This window comes from Homo sapiens, chromosome 6 (genome assembly GCF_000001405.40).
Source record: "Homo sapiens chromosome 6, GRCh38.p14 Primary Assembly".
Lineage (NCBI taxonomy): Eukaryota > Metazoa > Chordata > Mammalia > Primates > Hominidae > Homo > Homo sapiens.
Genome location: NC_000006.12, coordinates 130,898,693 through 130,913,457, shown reverse-complemented (window position 1 = coordinate 130,913,457; position 14,765 = coordinate 130,898,693). Strand labels below are relative to the sequence as shown.

General features: G+C 37.9%; 1 protein-coding gene across 23 annotated transcripts in view, besides 3 other annotated features; it reads left to right on the top strand.

Annotated features, from left to right (window-relative positions):
* The window catches only part of EPB41L2 (erythrocyte membrane protein band 4.1 like 2), a 223,899-nt gene that overhangs the window by 149,788 nt on the left and 59,346 nt on the right, over positions 1-14,765 (top strand). For all 23 annotated transcript variants that reach the window (NR_146620.2, NM_001135554.2, NM_001350314.2 and 20 more), the window contains 4 exons: positions 4,595-4,637; positions 8,918-8,993; positions 12,278-12,496; positions 13,880-13,967. Coding sequence is in view for 22 of the 23 variants with exons in the window: in NM_001135554.2 (NP_001129026.1) it covers positions 4,595-4,637; positions 8,918-8,993; positions 12,278-12,496; positions 13,880-13,967 (426 nt within the window). In the remaining variant the exon portion in view is untranslated. The remainder of the gene's footprint in view (positions 1-4,594; positions 4,638-8,917; positions 8,994-12,277; positions 12,497-13,879; positions 13,968-14,765) is intronic.
* Positions 5,083-5,142: a silencer, noted in NCBI's record as "silent region_17541". NCBI's record gives its function as "represses an Ori minimal core promoter by ATAC-STARR-seq in GM12878 lymphoblastoid cells {active_cell/tissue: GM12878}" and the evidence as "EXISTENCE:reporter gene assay evidence [ECO:0000049][PMID:35858748]".
* Positions 11,033-11,202: an enhancer, noted in NCBI's record as "experimental_89732 CRE fragment used in MPRA reporter constructs". NCBI's record gives its function as "activates a minimal promoter by MPRAs in K562 erythroleukemia cells, with activity observed for both the introgressed and non-introgressed 6:131223481 or rs17059801 variant alleles {active_cell/tissue: K562}" and the evidence as "EXISTENCE:reporter gene assay evidence [ECO:0000049][PMID:34662402]".
* Position 11,117: a transcriptional cis regulatory region, noted in NCBI's record as "Neanderthal adaptively introgressed variant 6:131223481 (GRCh37/hg19 assembly coordinates) or rs17059801 in the experimental_89732 CRE". NCBI's record gives its function as "modulates activity of the experimental_89732 enhancer by MPRAs in K562 erythroleukemia cells {active_cell/tissue: K562}" and the evidence as "EXISTENCE:reporter gene assay evidence [ECO:0000049][PMID:34662402]".

Sequence of the window (14,765 nt, the reverse complement as noted above, 5' to 3'; positions counted from 1 at the left end):
GTAGTACTGGGGAGTGAGAAGACAGCCTAATGCTTGGCAGGAATGGAACTTACAGTGTGAAAGTGAGTGTGGTTAGGAAAGGGAAAACGCGGTGAGGAAGTCATGCTGCTGTTTGATCACATCAGGTAAACCCCGCCCACTTAGTCTTTGGATGGTTGAAAGTAAGCCATTTCAGCCTTCAGTAATCTGTCTGGCAGTGTTGTGGAAAGTGGCCTGAGAATGACACCAAGTCTGAATTTGGCTGTCTGACTTTTCACTCATATTGCTGGGTTTATAGAGCTGACTCTTACCATGCCCTATAGAAACTGTTAGGTAATTTGTACAAGGGCCGGGTGCTTTAGGTGAGAATAGAAGGTGCCAGGTGGCTGGGACACAGGGTTAGTCCTTGGGTTCACAAGCTTCCACCATCTTCTGGAACAGAGAAGGGTCCTTTGTTGCTCTTCTGTACTGGGGATCTGTATCACTGCTCACACTTAATGAAATTGGGGATTTGGAAGGGTCTGTCTTTAAGACCAGCACTTTCTCTTAATTTCTCTGTGTTAATATTCTGGGGACTTTTTTTTTCTTTTCAATTTGGCGCCATTCAATTTCGTTTTTCTTGCTATGGTTGTTCCTTGGGTGAAAATTCCACCCATTTGCCCCTTTCTCACCTCTCTCCCAGCCTCCAACCAGTGTGGGCTAGAGGCTGAATGATGTGTTTTTTCATTCCTGTGCACTTATCGAGGCTGGCCATTTGTGAGCCAGCTGTTGGGTGGGACAGCAGCTGCAGTGCATGCAAACTGAATGGCAGGCTCTCTTCTGAAGGGGTAATTAGAGCTGCTCCCTCACATGGCACTGGAGGCACCCTTAGAGAGGCCTGCTGCCCCTCACGTCAGTAGTGCATGCAGCTGGGACACCAGTAATATGAAACTAGACCATGCTCTGGTAGTTCTTTATTGAGAGGTTTGAATATAACCAGTGTTAGAACAGAGCCATGTACACCTTGGATCCTTGCTACCCCGAGTGCGGGCCATGAACAGTAGTGAAACCCGAGGGGCCATGCGGCTCTGCTTTCACAGCATCTTACTGTTTTACTTTTTAATAGTGTCAGTTAATGTTCCGTTATACCATTTTAATATGGTATTAAGACAGCAGGTTATTTTCTGTGTACTAATAAGCATTTTAATTGTTTGCTTTATATATCTGAATAAAATTCTGTTTAAGCACAGATGTTGTAATACAGTGGTCCCCAACCTGTTTGGCAACAGGGACCGGTTTTGTGGAAGACAATTTTTCCACATACCGGGGTGGGGGTGAGGGAATGGTTTTGGCATGAAACTGCTCCACCTGAGATCATCAAGCGTTAGTCAGAGTCTCATAAGGAGTGTGCAGCCTAGATCCCTCTCTTGTGCAGTTCACAATAGGGTTTGTGCTCCTCTGAGAATCTAACGCGGGTGGTGATCTGACAGGAGGCGGTGCTCAGGTGGTAATGCCCACTTACCTGCTGTTCACGTCCTGCTGTGCAGCCCAGTTCCTAATAGGCCACGATCGGTACCAGTCCGTGGGATGGGGGTTGAGGACCCCTGTTATATTATTTTGGACACTGCTTAGAATGAGTAAAACTTAATTAGACTCATTTATTTGAATTAGTTTATTGTACCTCAAAAATTGCACTTCTCCTATGTTAGTGATAACTTGAGGGTAGAAAAATGTAAATATAAAAATATAAACAAAAAAATCTAAATTTTTTATTGGACTTTTGCTTGTAGCTTCGAAAAACAAAAATTTAATGTCCTTGGGTGGTTCGAACCTAGTGGTTTAAATTTGGTCTTTTTTGCTTTAAGATGCTGTAACAGTTTCCTAGCATTTTTTTAAAGCTTTCTTTTTTGTTGTTTAGTTGGAGAGTTTATTTAACCATTGGATGTAACTATTGACTTGTTTTCTTTTTTTTTATTATTATTGTACTTTAAGTTCTGGGATACATGTGCAGAACGTGCAGGTTTGTTACATAGGTATACACGTGCCATGGTGGTTTGCTGCACCCATCAACCCCCGTCATCTACATTAAGTATTTCTCCTAATGCTGTCCCTCCCCTAGCCCCCCACACCCCAACAGGCCCTGGTGTGTGATGTTCCCCTCTCCGTGTCCATGTGTTCTCATTGTTCAGCTCCCACTTATGAGTGCGAATATGCAGGTTTTCTGTTCCTGTGTTAGTTTGCTGAGAATGATGGTTTCCAGCTTCATCCATGTCCCTGCAAAGGACATGAACTCATCCTTTTTTATGGCTGCATAGTATTTCGTGGTGTATATGTGCCACATTTTCTTTATCCAGTCTATCATTGATAGGCATTTGAGTTGGTTCCAAGTCATTGCTATTGTGAATAGTGCTGCAATAAACATACGTGTGCATGTGTCCTTATAAAAGAACGATTTATAATCCTTTGGGTATATACCCAGTAATGGGATGGCTGGGTCAAATGGTGTTTCTAGTTCTAGAGCCTTGAGGAATCACCACACCGTCTTCCACAATGGTTGAACTAATTTACACTCCCACCAACAGTGTAAAAGTGTTCCTGTTTCTCCACATCCTCTCCAGCATCTGTTGTTTTCCTGACTTTTTAACGATCGCCATTCTAACTGGCGTGAGATGGTGTCTCATTGTGGATTTGATTTGCATTTCTCTAATGACCAGTGATGATGAGCTTTTTTTCATATGTTTGTTGGCCACATAAATGTCTTCTTTTGAGAAGTGTCTATTCATATCCTTCACCCACTTTTTGATGGAGTTATTTTTTTCTTGTAAATTTGTTTAAGTTCCTTGTAGATTCTGGATATTAGCCCTTTGTCAGATGGATAGATTGCAAAAATTTTCTCCCATTCTGTAGGTTACCTGTTCACTCTGATGATAGTTTCTTTTGCTGTGCAGAAGCTCTTTAGTTTAATTAGATCTCATTTGTCAATTTTGGCTTTTGTTGCCATTGCTTTTGGTGTTTTAGAAATGAAGGCTTTGCCCATGCCTATGTCCTGAATGGTATTGCCTAGGTTTTCTTCTAGGATTGTTATGGTTTTAGTCTTATGTTTAAGTCTTTAATCCATCTTGAGTTAATTTTCTATAAGGTGTAAGGAAGGAGTCCAGTTTCAGTTTTCGGCATATGGCTAGCCAGTTTTCCCAACATCATTTATTAAATAGGGAATCCTTTCCTCATTGCTTGTTTTTGTCACATTTGTCAAAAATCAGATGGTTGTAGATGTGTGGTGTTATTTCTGAGGCATCTGTTCTGTTCCATTGGTCTATATATCTGTTTTGGTACCAGTACCATGCTGTTTTGGTTACTGTAGCCTTGTAATGTAGTTTGAAGTCAGGTAGTGTGATACCTCCAGCTTTGTTCTTTTTGTTTAGGATTGTCTTGGCTATATGGGCTCCTTTTTGGTTCCATATGAAATTTAAGGTAGTTTTTTCTAATTCTGTGAAGAAAGTCAATGGTAGCTTGATGGAGATAGCATTGAATCTATAAATTATTTTGGGCAGTATGATCATTTTCACGATATTGATTCTTCCTATCCATGAGCATGGGATGTTTTTCCATTTGTTTGTGTCCTCTCTTATTTCCTTGTGCAGTGCTTTGTAGTTCTCCTTGAAGAGGTCCTTCACATTCCTTGTAAGTTGTATTCCTAGGTATTTTTTTCTCTTAGTAGCAATTGTGAATGGGAGTTCACTCATCATTTGGCTCTCTATTATTGGTGTATAGGAATGCTTGTGATTTTCGCACATTGATTTTGTATCCTGAGACTTTGCTGAAGTTGCTTATCAGCTTAAGTAGATTTTGGGCTGAGACAATGGGGTTTTCTAAATATACAATCATGTCATCTGCAAACAGAGACAATTTGACTTCCTTTCTTCCTATTTGAATACCCTTTATTTGTTTCTCTTGCCTGATTGGCCTGGCCAGAGCTGCCAGCACAGCAGTCTGAGTAAAGCTTTCTTAAGGAGTTCCTTGTGATTGCTACTTCCAACTTAGAATGAGGTTAAGAAGAAAGAAGGGTGTTATATTAAGACCAGGAAGGGAAATATTGTCTCCAACCTGACCTTACCTCTCCTTACAATTATAGAGTTGGAGGGAAAGGGAGGATTAAGGAGGAGGAGTAGTTCGTTTTAGGAGTTGAGATAATTGTGTTCGCTTGGTATGTATATACTTTTAGCCAACAGTTTCAATTTTCACACTTTATCCTTCATGACTAGGAATCCATTATTGTCCTTGAAGAGCTCTCATTTCAGTGTCTGCAGGGGCTATTTGTTGGCAGTTCTACAGAATAAGACTGTGTGAAGATATGTCTCATCATTTGGACCATTTTAGATGCAGGAGAATGAGGCCCATGGGACCCACCTTAAAAGCATGTGAATATTTTACTTATAGTACACACTTACCACATTTACACACATATGTCCCCAAGGACAAAGCAATACTTAGCCCAGTGGAATGCTGATAGGTGCAAGTTGCTTTGAATAATACTTTATTAAAATGTGTTTACACTTAAATAATTATGTGAACTGTAAACTGTTCTATTTTAGACTCTAGAATATTTCTTATGAATTAATTTTTTTCCCTCATGCAGAACTGGTTAGATCCTGCTAAAGAAATAAAGAGACAACTGAGAAGTAAGTATATAAATAATCATTCTTTGAAGTTAAGGTGTCTTGATATCTATTTGTGATATAAATGATCAGTAATAGAATGGTCAGTTCTATTTTGCATTTATGCCATCTTAGAAGTTAATAATACTAATAATATTTTTGTGGAATTGTGACTGTTTCGTACATGGCTCAGGTGCTCCTACTTTTGGGAAGGTTCTAGACTCACATTCCTAAATATTCACTCAGAATGTCCTACCAAGTAACATCTGACATTTTTTTTCTGGGAAAGAAAGAGAAACTACTTTTCTGTAAATTTTACTTTCTATGTAAATTTTACTCCAGTGAGACCTGATACTATTGCTTTGTCTGCTTCATTTTGAAAGTGCATAATTAGTTCAATATGCACATCTTTGGCCACAGAGACATAGAGACACTGTTCCTGGATGTACTGGAGTGAGGACTCTTTGGGGAGAAGCAAGGGGAACAATCTTTTCAGTTCTCTGAGGTCACTGCCATCTCTGCTCATTGGTTCTACAATCCAAGGCCACTTTGCATACTCTTTGAGCCTGGGCTTGTAGTTAGGCCTCATTGTTCATTTCTTCCCCTTTTCCCATTTGTTCTTGTACAATCCCAAAATGACTCCAAGAGTCCCACTCTAACCAGCTTCAGTTCTCTCTATACGTTCTGCCTCTGCAGGTTGTTTTGCCTGTGGCTGTTTTTTTGGTATCTGTGCCAAGAAACATGATAAATAGAGAGAAATCTCTGTTAGGGGATCTGGATACTTAATTTACTTCAGGGTCTGTGAATGACTGAAGCAGAGAAGGTAGGCAGCTACAGGCAGTTGGAATTTTCGGTCTGGAGAATAAAATCTGAAGGCTGGTAAATTCCTAACAGCCTTCCTCGACTGTGGAGCCCAGAGTTGTCCCAGGAGAAACCTCTTCTCCAGGTGCCAGCATGCAAGATGCCCTTTGTACTGTTGATTTCATTTCCTTACTTACTTATTATTCCTAAGGTCAAAATACTGAAACCAATCTGTCCTTTCCCTTCTTGCCCTTTTCATCTACCATCTAGCTCCCATTTTAGGTTCTTCACATTTGTTTTCTTTATTTCTTTCTCTCTCGAATTATTTATCTTTTTGGTAGTCTTCCTGTCATTTCTTTGCTTCCCTACTCTCTTTTTTTATTCTGAGCATATACCTTATTTTTCCCATTTCCTCTTCCTGTAGACTCATCTTTCTTTTCCTTTTTAAAAACGTCTTTGATTAGAGTGACCAACCTCCTGATTTGCCCAGGACTGAGGGGCTTCTCAGGATATGAGACTTTAAGTGCTAAAGCTGGAACCAGTCCCAGGCAGGCTGGAATGGTTGGTCACTATCCTTTTGATTATTATTCCTGGTTTCCCACATTCTCTTTCTTGCATTTATTTTCTTGGTGTTTCATCCATTTATGCTTGCTTCATGATGGAAAAGGGAGAAAAAGAAGAGGAATAAGTAGACACCAGATACATTATGCTTACCTTATGGAAGAAACAGTACCAGAGCTTTGAAACTTTTTCCTTTGTCCCTTCTGCAGTTGTTACTTTGCAAAGTGCATGCATTCAAAAAGGTTACGGATGCTTAGTTCTTACACTTTCTCTGAAACCAGACCTGCCAAGTGACCCAAACAGAGAGAACAGGGCAACCTCTGAAACATGATTGATGTTCCATTGAGTTGTTTCCTATGGTTTTGTTTGGGTTCTTGTTTGATTATTATTATTATTTTTTTTTTGTGCCACTCTCTTCAGAGTCATGGAGATTTCCTAACTTTTGGAAGCCAAACCTCTTGCCGATTATGAATCATGTTCTTATGTTTTGATTATCTGTGAAGTTTCAAAAAGTTATTTCAGAACTTTTACCCTTGTGGTTTGGCAATATGAGTAACAGTAAGATTAGACTTTTTAAAACTGTTGGAACCAGTTCTTTAAATGGCATCCTGTACTGTACCCATCATGAAAGCAGGCTGAGGAAATGAAGCTTTAGCAGTTGTATCTACCTCTTTCTTTCTGTATTAAAATGGACCAAAAAACCTGCCTATTCTATCCTTGGTGTCTGCTATAATTTTATTTTTATTTTTCAGCTCATAGGCAGTTAGCGAAGATAAATATTAATCTTTTTTGAGCTACCTATGACAACCAACAACTTAATGATTCTCATTTAAAATTTGCCTTAAAACCTTTATTTTCTGAAACATAAATAAGACTATATGTCTAAGGCTTGCGTATGACTAGTATGTAAACATTTCTGTAGCTAGAAGGACTGTTTATAAACAGCTAGGTAAAAATTATGATGATAATATGTAATCAAATTAAAAGTTTAACTTGAAAACTGCTAAGGGAGTAGATTTTAAGTGCTCTCACTGCAAAAATAGTATGTGAAGAGTAATGCATATGTTAATTAGGTCAATTTAGCCATTCCACAATGTATACGTATTTTAAAATATCATATTTTGTACCAAAATGTATACCATTTTTAATTGTCAGTTTTAAAAAAGCTTAGCATTATTGGTACATTTCAACAGCTTTTAGATTTGGAAGTATATTAGAAAATATGTGGTCTAGTAGAAATGTCTCCGAGTCCTGTCCAGGCAAGCATGTTCTAGTGTTATTACCTAGAAAACAAACAAGGAGCCATTAAGAAATGATAATCCTGTGATAACTTTACTTAATTCGAGACTAGCAGTCACCTTGAAGAAATGCTTACACAAACACGATGCATGGATATTTGACAGTCATCATGGCGCTATAGGCCAAGAAACCTCATATATCTTGATATTCAGGAAAATCTTATATCCCATTATTATGTTTTAAATGTGTAAAGCAGAACTGAAATCTGCTTCTTAAGTTCAGCAGGATTGACTTCATTGGTTGAATCAGTGGTGCATTGAGCCAAAATCCAGCAAAAAATGCATTTGTATACAACAGTAGCCATTTAATAAATATTTGAGTGAGTGAAAAGGTAGTGTGCTGATGGTAAGACAAAGGACAAAATGCCACACTGAACAAGAGAATGGGATTCAAGGAATTTTTCTTCAGGTTCATAAATTAAACATCTCATAAGGTCTTTAAATATGTATAGAATGGAATAACTTGGCTGGGCGTGGTGGTTCATGCCTGTAATCCCAACACTTTGAGAGGCTGAGGCCGGGAGATTGCTTAAGCCCAGGGATTCGAGACAAGCCTGGCAACATAGGGAGACCCCGTCTCTGAAAGAGTAAAAAATAAGTTAGCCGGACATCGTAGCGCATGCCTGTGGTCCCAGCTACTTGGGAGGCTAGGATGGGAGGATCACTTAGGCCTGGGACGTTGAGGTTGCAGTGAGCCATGATCATGCCACGGCACTGCAACCTGGGCGACAGAGTGAGACTCTGTCTCAGAAAAAAAAAAAAGGAATAACATATATACACACACACATTTTTTTAATTTAAAAATATTATGAACTTGAAGTCAAACTCTAAATTCAGGCTAGTGGAATTATTTGGATTCCATTAGGAAAATAATACCTGCCCTTTCCCCCATAGTTTTACTTTTTTAAAGTTATCCTACACATGATCTATCAAAATAGCAGTTAAATTTTACGTATAAATAGCAGTGTTTTAACTTTTAACAAGCCATTTATGATATGGTTGCTTGACTTATTCATTCTTTATGGCACAATACAGCCAAGTGTATGTTATATACGAATATACTTACACCTACTCTACTAAAACCTGGGAAATAATTGTATTGTCCTAAAGTATCATGAAATTATACCATGCTTTCCCTTCTTGGGATCTCTTTTAACACCTTCTTCAAATAGCCCATTAATAATTTTTTGAATAGCTATTATCTCTTGATCATTACTCTCCTTCCCCACAACAATGTAGAAAATCCTGAATTTTAAAAAAAAAAAAAAGGGTGGAGAATATTTGGCAACAGGAGATCCTGTGGTTAAATTGAATCTTATCTCAGAACTATTACATGGAGGTTATATTAAAATTTTTGTATAATAGATCACCATATAAAACACATGTTGAGGTATCAGTAAATGTTTATAAGAAAGAGAACCTATTACTCTTTAATGGTGGCTTATTTATGTAATTGATTTCTATTTTATTTTTTATTTCATTTTTATTTTATAAACAATTTTAATTTTATTTAAATAAAAAAATTCTGCATGCTGATTTATAGTTGGATTAGTCTGTACTGTTTGATCCTTGACCTTTAAATTTTATCACAATAGTCATTCTTCTGTTAATTGGGTGCATAACTGTGATATTTAATAATTACAGACCTTCCATGGCTATTCACTTTTAATGTGAAGTTTTATCCTCCTGATCCTTCTCAATTGACTGAAGATATCACCAGGTACTTTATATTTGCATTTTTAAATGAACCTTTCCTTACAGCTCTCGTTTATTTTTGTGCCCTGGGAGCATAGTGGTAATTTCAGGATTGAAAACCAAAACAGTTTTTCTTAAGTTTTAGAAGTTTCCTTGAAAATGGGTACATCCAAATAGTTTGAAATGTTGCCAGTTTCAAAAATTTTATTCACTTTCTTTAATATCTTCATTTATATTCTAGTAATGAAAATTTTAAAAATGATACTGCTGACAACTTTGTTTTCTATGTTATACTTTTAAAAGTCACTAATATTTAATATTTGAGATTTTAATACCAAGGTCATTTTTATTGTATATAACTCATGTGTGCTTATATACTAGTCTCATATTACAAAGATGATATGAGGTTAGCAAAATGAAATTATTTTAAAAGTCCAATTGAACTGGTAATTTCTTTCTCTCTTCTCCCTCCAGAACCAAACAAGGTAGGATTTCTTATGTAGAGTCAATAGCTAGTTCATTTCCATCTCCTTGGAGATTGTGTGAGCTATAAGAACATACACTTGAATTGCAAAGAAAGGATTCTGTTTAGGAGCAAGAGAATATTTATTGATTCTGAGTACCTGAATGGCAACCAAGAAACATTGTGAATCAACAAGTACCTTGAAATCTTAGCCCAGTTAGACTGGGTACCAGAAACATTGTGAATCAATCAACAAGTAGCTTGAAATCTTAGCCTGATTACACTGGGTACCAGGGATAGCATTTCTTAGCTTTGGTGAGAGGAAGTATAAAGGGTTGATTTTTTTTTTTAAAGGATGATTTTTATATACCATATTTTTAAAAGGTTACTTACATGGTCAAGTACAACTGTGTGCAGTGCATGACTTTTAGAAAACTAGAGGGGCTTAGCAAAAGAGTCTGCTTGTCTTTAGTTCCTGTATCTTTGATGCTTTCTGCTGGGCCAGTTTTGTTGTCAGACATCAAGTTGTGGAAGTGGTTAAGAGTTCATAATATCCATGTGAAATAGCAAGGATGGAAATTTCTTTCCAATATTGGGTACATAGCAGGCCGGCCTTTTTTTTTTTTTTAAACTACTTGTTGCTGAATATGAATGCACTAATTAAGCTCTGAATGAATTAGCTTCACCTAGTAAATAATAAATAGTAGCTTTTGTAACTGCACAGTGAGCTACTTAGAGCATAAAACCTGACCGAATGGCATGTGTAGGATGCAGAGCTTCACTGCAGGGGTGCCTCTGAACAATGCATGTAACTGGGGCTTTGTGACCCAACACTCTGTACATACACTCCTCCTGGCAGTAATTTGTTTGGAGAATGATAATCCTTTGGTGATTGCAAGTTTGTAGCATCAGTACTTTGGTTTTCCATATAAATGGAACTTGAACAGTCTCCCTGTCTAGTGGGAGGAACAATATAGTCTGCTCAGCTAACTAAAGTTCTCAGTGGTGCAGCCTGAGACCAGCCACCTGCCTGTACTTGTGGCCTGGAAGCTTAAATGTCATGATCGAAATCTTCACCATGACTTGAGTGAACATTTAGAAGCTGGGGTAGGCTTCTGAGAAGGGCAAGAACACTATTTCGAATAATGTTTGAAGAATGCTTCATAGTGCTGTGTGAAGGTACAGTTGGGTAATTCAGGAAGCTCATGCCATTTTTTGTTTGAAGTTTTTAGGATTTAGACTTAGGCTTTGAAAACAGAGGAAAGGACCAATGTGAAAAGCAGAGACAATAATATAAAAGGAAGCAACAAGATGAAATCTTTGTGTTTAGGTTCTAAAACTTCCATAAAATGTGGAGAAACATCACTGTTGTTTATTAGAGAATTTGAGGATAACCTGGACCCATGGTTGAAAATTCAGTTGTCTGAAGTATGTACTGTTAATGCTTATGTTTTTCTACGGGTCAAGGAAACATATAATCCTCCTTAAAAGGAGATCTGCAAGGCATAAAATACTCAAAATACTGTAGTGATAGCGAGAAGACTTTCAGTCTCTCAATTACCGAGCACTTGTCATGTGGCAAGCCCTCCAGTAACTGTGGGACTATAGTGATGATAAACAGAGTCCCCGCCCTGCCTGATGATGTATTTGGGTGGTAATCCAGGTTCTGAACTGACCTGGCCCCATGTGCTGGGTTGTGCTCTCTGACCCAGTAACAACAAGGCCTGGACCAGAGGCCAGCACTCCCCATTTGATTGTGTAGGGTAGAGAGCAGGAAGAGGATTGGGCCCTAAAACCCAGGCCAGGCAAGTGTCCACAGGACTAAGATGGCCAGCTGCCAGTATGAATGCCAGTCTCTAAAAGGTCTTAAAGAATGAGGACTCTGCTGTTGATTTGGGAGGATCCATGGTGACCATAGCAAGTGGTGAAGTTAAAGAGTAGAAATCACATTTTAAAATGTTACCAAGAGGAATTGATAGTGGGGCTTAAAAGGTGGGGGAAACCCACAGGGTATATATGACATGTTTCTGCATTTTATTTCATGGAAAACGGAAATTCTTTTATAACCGTAGTGAGCCACATGGAACATTGAATGAGAAACATTATAGCCACTAATTATTATAGCTACTAGTTATTGATTCTTAAGCATGTACCAGATATTTTATTTATATTATCTAATGTTCATGCTCATCTTCAAAGGGAGGTAGAGTTCTTAGCGTCTTATAGGTGGGAAATTACCCTTAGGCAAGTAAATTAACTTGCTCAAGGTCATATAGAGTCAGGTCTTCCTGGCTTCAAAGCCCAGGCCTTTTCTGCTAAACTGAGCTAGCTACTGCTTTAAATGGGGTAAATGGAAAAGTAAGGGCTTCAAAGTAGAGATTTACCAATAACTGTTGTTAAAGGTGTTTCTGGAAAAGAAGAAATGTCAAGATGATAAAGGGTGGGTGACCTTAGCTTTTCTTACAAATGATTAAGACTAGTTTTTTTTTTTAATCTATTAATCCTTACATCTTTTGAGGGGCGTGCTAATTTTTATTACAGTTTGAAATCCAAGGAGACAGTTTAAGTGATTGAAATTTTTACTTCAGTTATAAAACTCTTATATATATACACACACACATATAAATTAGCCTTCTGGACTCAGTTTCTATAAATAAGCCACAAGTTTAGAAGCCCAAGGAGCAAGTTGAGGCTTTTTATTAGAGAAGATGATTTTTGCTGTTTATATGAAGAGTGCCTATATTGTATATTTGTTTTCAAAGGGGTACTAGCTTTTAAGGACTGTGAGTGCTCCAATCTCACCTAATGGTTCTCCCCTGACCCATTTCTCCCTCTGCTCCTCACAGATACTTCTTGTGCCTTCAGCTCCGGCAGGACATTGCCTCTGGCCGCCTGCCCTGCTCTTTTGTGACTCATGCTCTCCTGGGATCCTACACCCTGCAGGCTGAACTTGGTGACTATGACCCAGAAGAACATGGCAGCATCGACCTCAGTGAATTCCAGTTTGCCCCTACTCAGACTAAGGAGCTGGAAGAGAAGGTGGCAGAGCTGCACAAAACCCACAGGTCTGTTGCCTTGCTTACTGGAGAGAATGGCCATGGGAGATTTAAATAGCTTCTCTTGTAGCACTTACTAGACATTTGAGCATGATTTACAGGATTATCCAATTTTTCCTTTTGGAGTTTCACCTAGCACTAATCAAGGCAACGTGGAGCCCTTGAGGTATCCTTTCATTATTTTTATAACTACCGTCTGAGAAACTATACTTGTAAGACTGTATGTTTTCATGTATTGGAAAAATGTACTTTTCCCCATGACACCTTCTTCTCCCTATCCCCCTAACACATACACATTGGAGACAAACATGTCCACATACTTATTTGACATTTACTTTATATTTCTTCTGCCTTATAATTGTCCTTATTACTATATGTGGTAAGAAAGCTAGGGAGATAAGGAGGCATTGGGATTTGAATTACCAGTGTAGGTGGTGATGGACGTAGGAATAGTAACTGAAATGTACAGGTGATTCCGTTGGAAGATGACCCGTTGGTTTAGCTAAGATTACTTAACATTACATTAATACCATATTACGCTTCTAGAACATTTATATGTGTGTGAAAAGAAAATGGACTTTTTACACAAATTTTTATAACGCTAGCTACAAAATGATAATTTGTTCTATATTGCAAAATTACAGTTTTATTAAATATTACTAAAGTGATCTGAAAGGAACTTTCAAAAATTAGGTTTTTAAACAGGCCACATTCATTGATTTTTCTTTAAAAAAAATATGGTATTTGACTCTAAATGTTTTCTTATTAATTTACTTAAATTCTACTCAATAGACATTTGTTGTATAATTCTGATGTGAAATATCAGGTACTGACATGCCATGGGGAATGTGAAAATTAATGGGACATGATCTTGCTCTTTAGGAGCTTAAAGTTTACTTAGTTGGGTATATAGATAGGAATGGAAATAATTTTAGTATGGACAATTGATTTGTGTTACCTATCATAGGTATAAAATCAAATACAAGTAATTTCAATCTTTATTATGATCAACTCTAGTGAAATAAAATGAAGGAGTAAGAATGTGTTTATCACAGAAAGATGAGATCACTGTTTTTTATTCTCCAGTACTTATGTTGTACACTATTGCTGGGGCTTTTTTCCTCAGTGAAAATAATCAAAAGCAACTTTTTAAGATAAAATGGGTAAGAGTGGAGGTATACCTCCATGCAGTTTAGCAGGTTTACATTATAGGATCTTAAGGGAAAAATGTTAGAGGTTGAGAGTTGTTTTCTTACCATTTCCTACTTTTCTGCAAACTTGGCTGGGTAACTTTCTCTCCTCCAAACCCTCTGAGCACAGACACTCCTCCCATTCTGACTACATTTGCTCTGCATCCATTAATAAGATAATACTGTTTCTTTTGATTCTCAGGGGCTTATCGCCAGCACAAGCTGATTCCCAGTTCTTAGAAAATGCAAAGAGGCTTTCCATGTATGGTGTTGACCTACATCATGCCAAGGTACTGTAAATGTAACGGGGAGTAGCATCATAGTAGTCTGTTGACTGAGGTTTTGAGAGGGCTCCAGTTTCAGGATAGCACAGCTTATTTTTGGGAAAAGGATATTTGCTTTCAATTGAGGGTCTCTGGAATATTTCCTTGGTGACTAATTATGGGGTGTTTGGTTGTGGGAGGGACCATGTATTCTGTCTCTACCACTTGTTTTCCCAGTCTTTTTAATTAATGCCCTTTCATAGGTACTTACTATGACACACCTTGTCAGCCTTTTTTTTTTCACCGCTTATCCTGGTTTATTTTGCATTGCAGCTTCTGCTAGGCCAAGTGCTGTGTCTGTCCCAGTTCCCTCTCCCACCTCTGTCTTGGGAGAGGAGAGAAGACCTTAGCAACCATAAAAGGGCAAAAGTAGCATGGGACCACTTTCCAAAAAGCTTATGTTTGATGAAGGAGCCCTAGAGTTGGTCTTTTCCCTGTAGGTGTGTTTTGTACTTTGTGAAAGATAACGTAGGTGGGCCCAGGCTCTGGGTGATAAAGCACCTTCAGTCTAATTTGAAAGATGGTAAAAGAGTGGGACAATGGGGACATGGGAAGCCAGTCATAATCCTGAACACCGTAATCCCAAAAGATCAAAATCTCAAAAATATAATGCTCGAAAAAATAATTTTAAAAGTTATTTAAAAGACATTTATTTACGTTTTTAAGGGGGGATTTGAGAAACATAAAACACAACAGAAGTTCATAGGCCACTTTACACGATAAATTAGGCAGTAGTAACATACATTTTTTTTGCAAGCATAAACG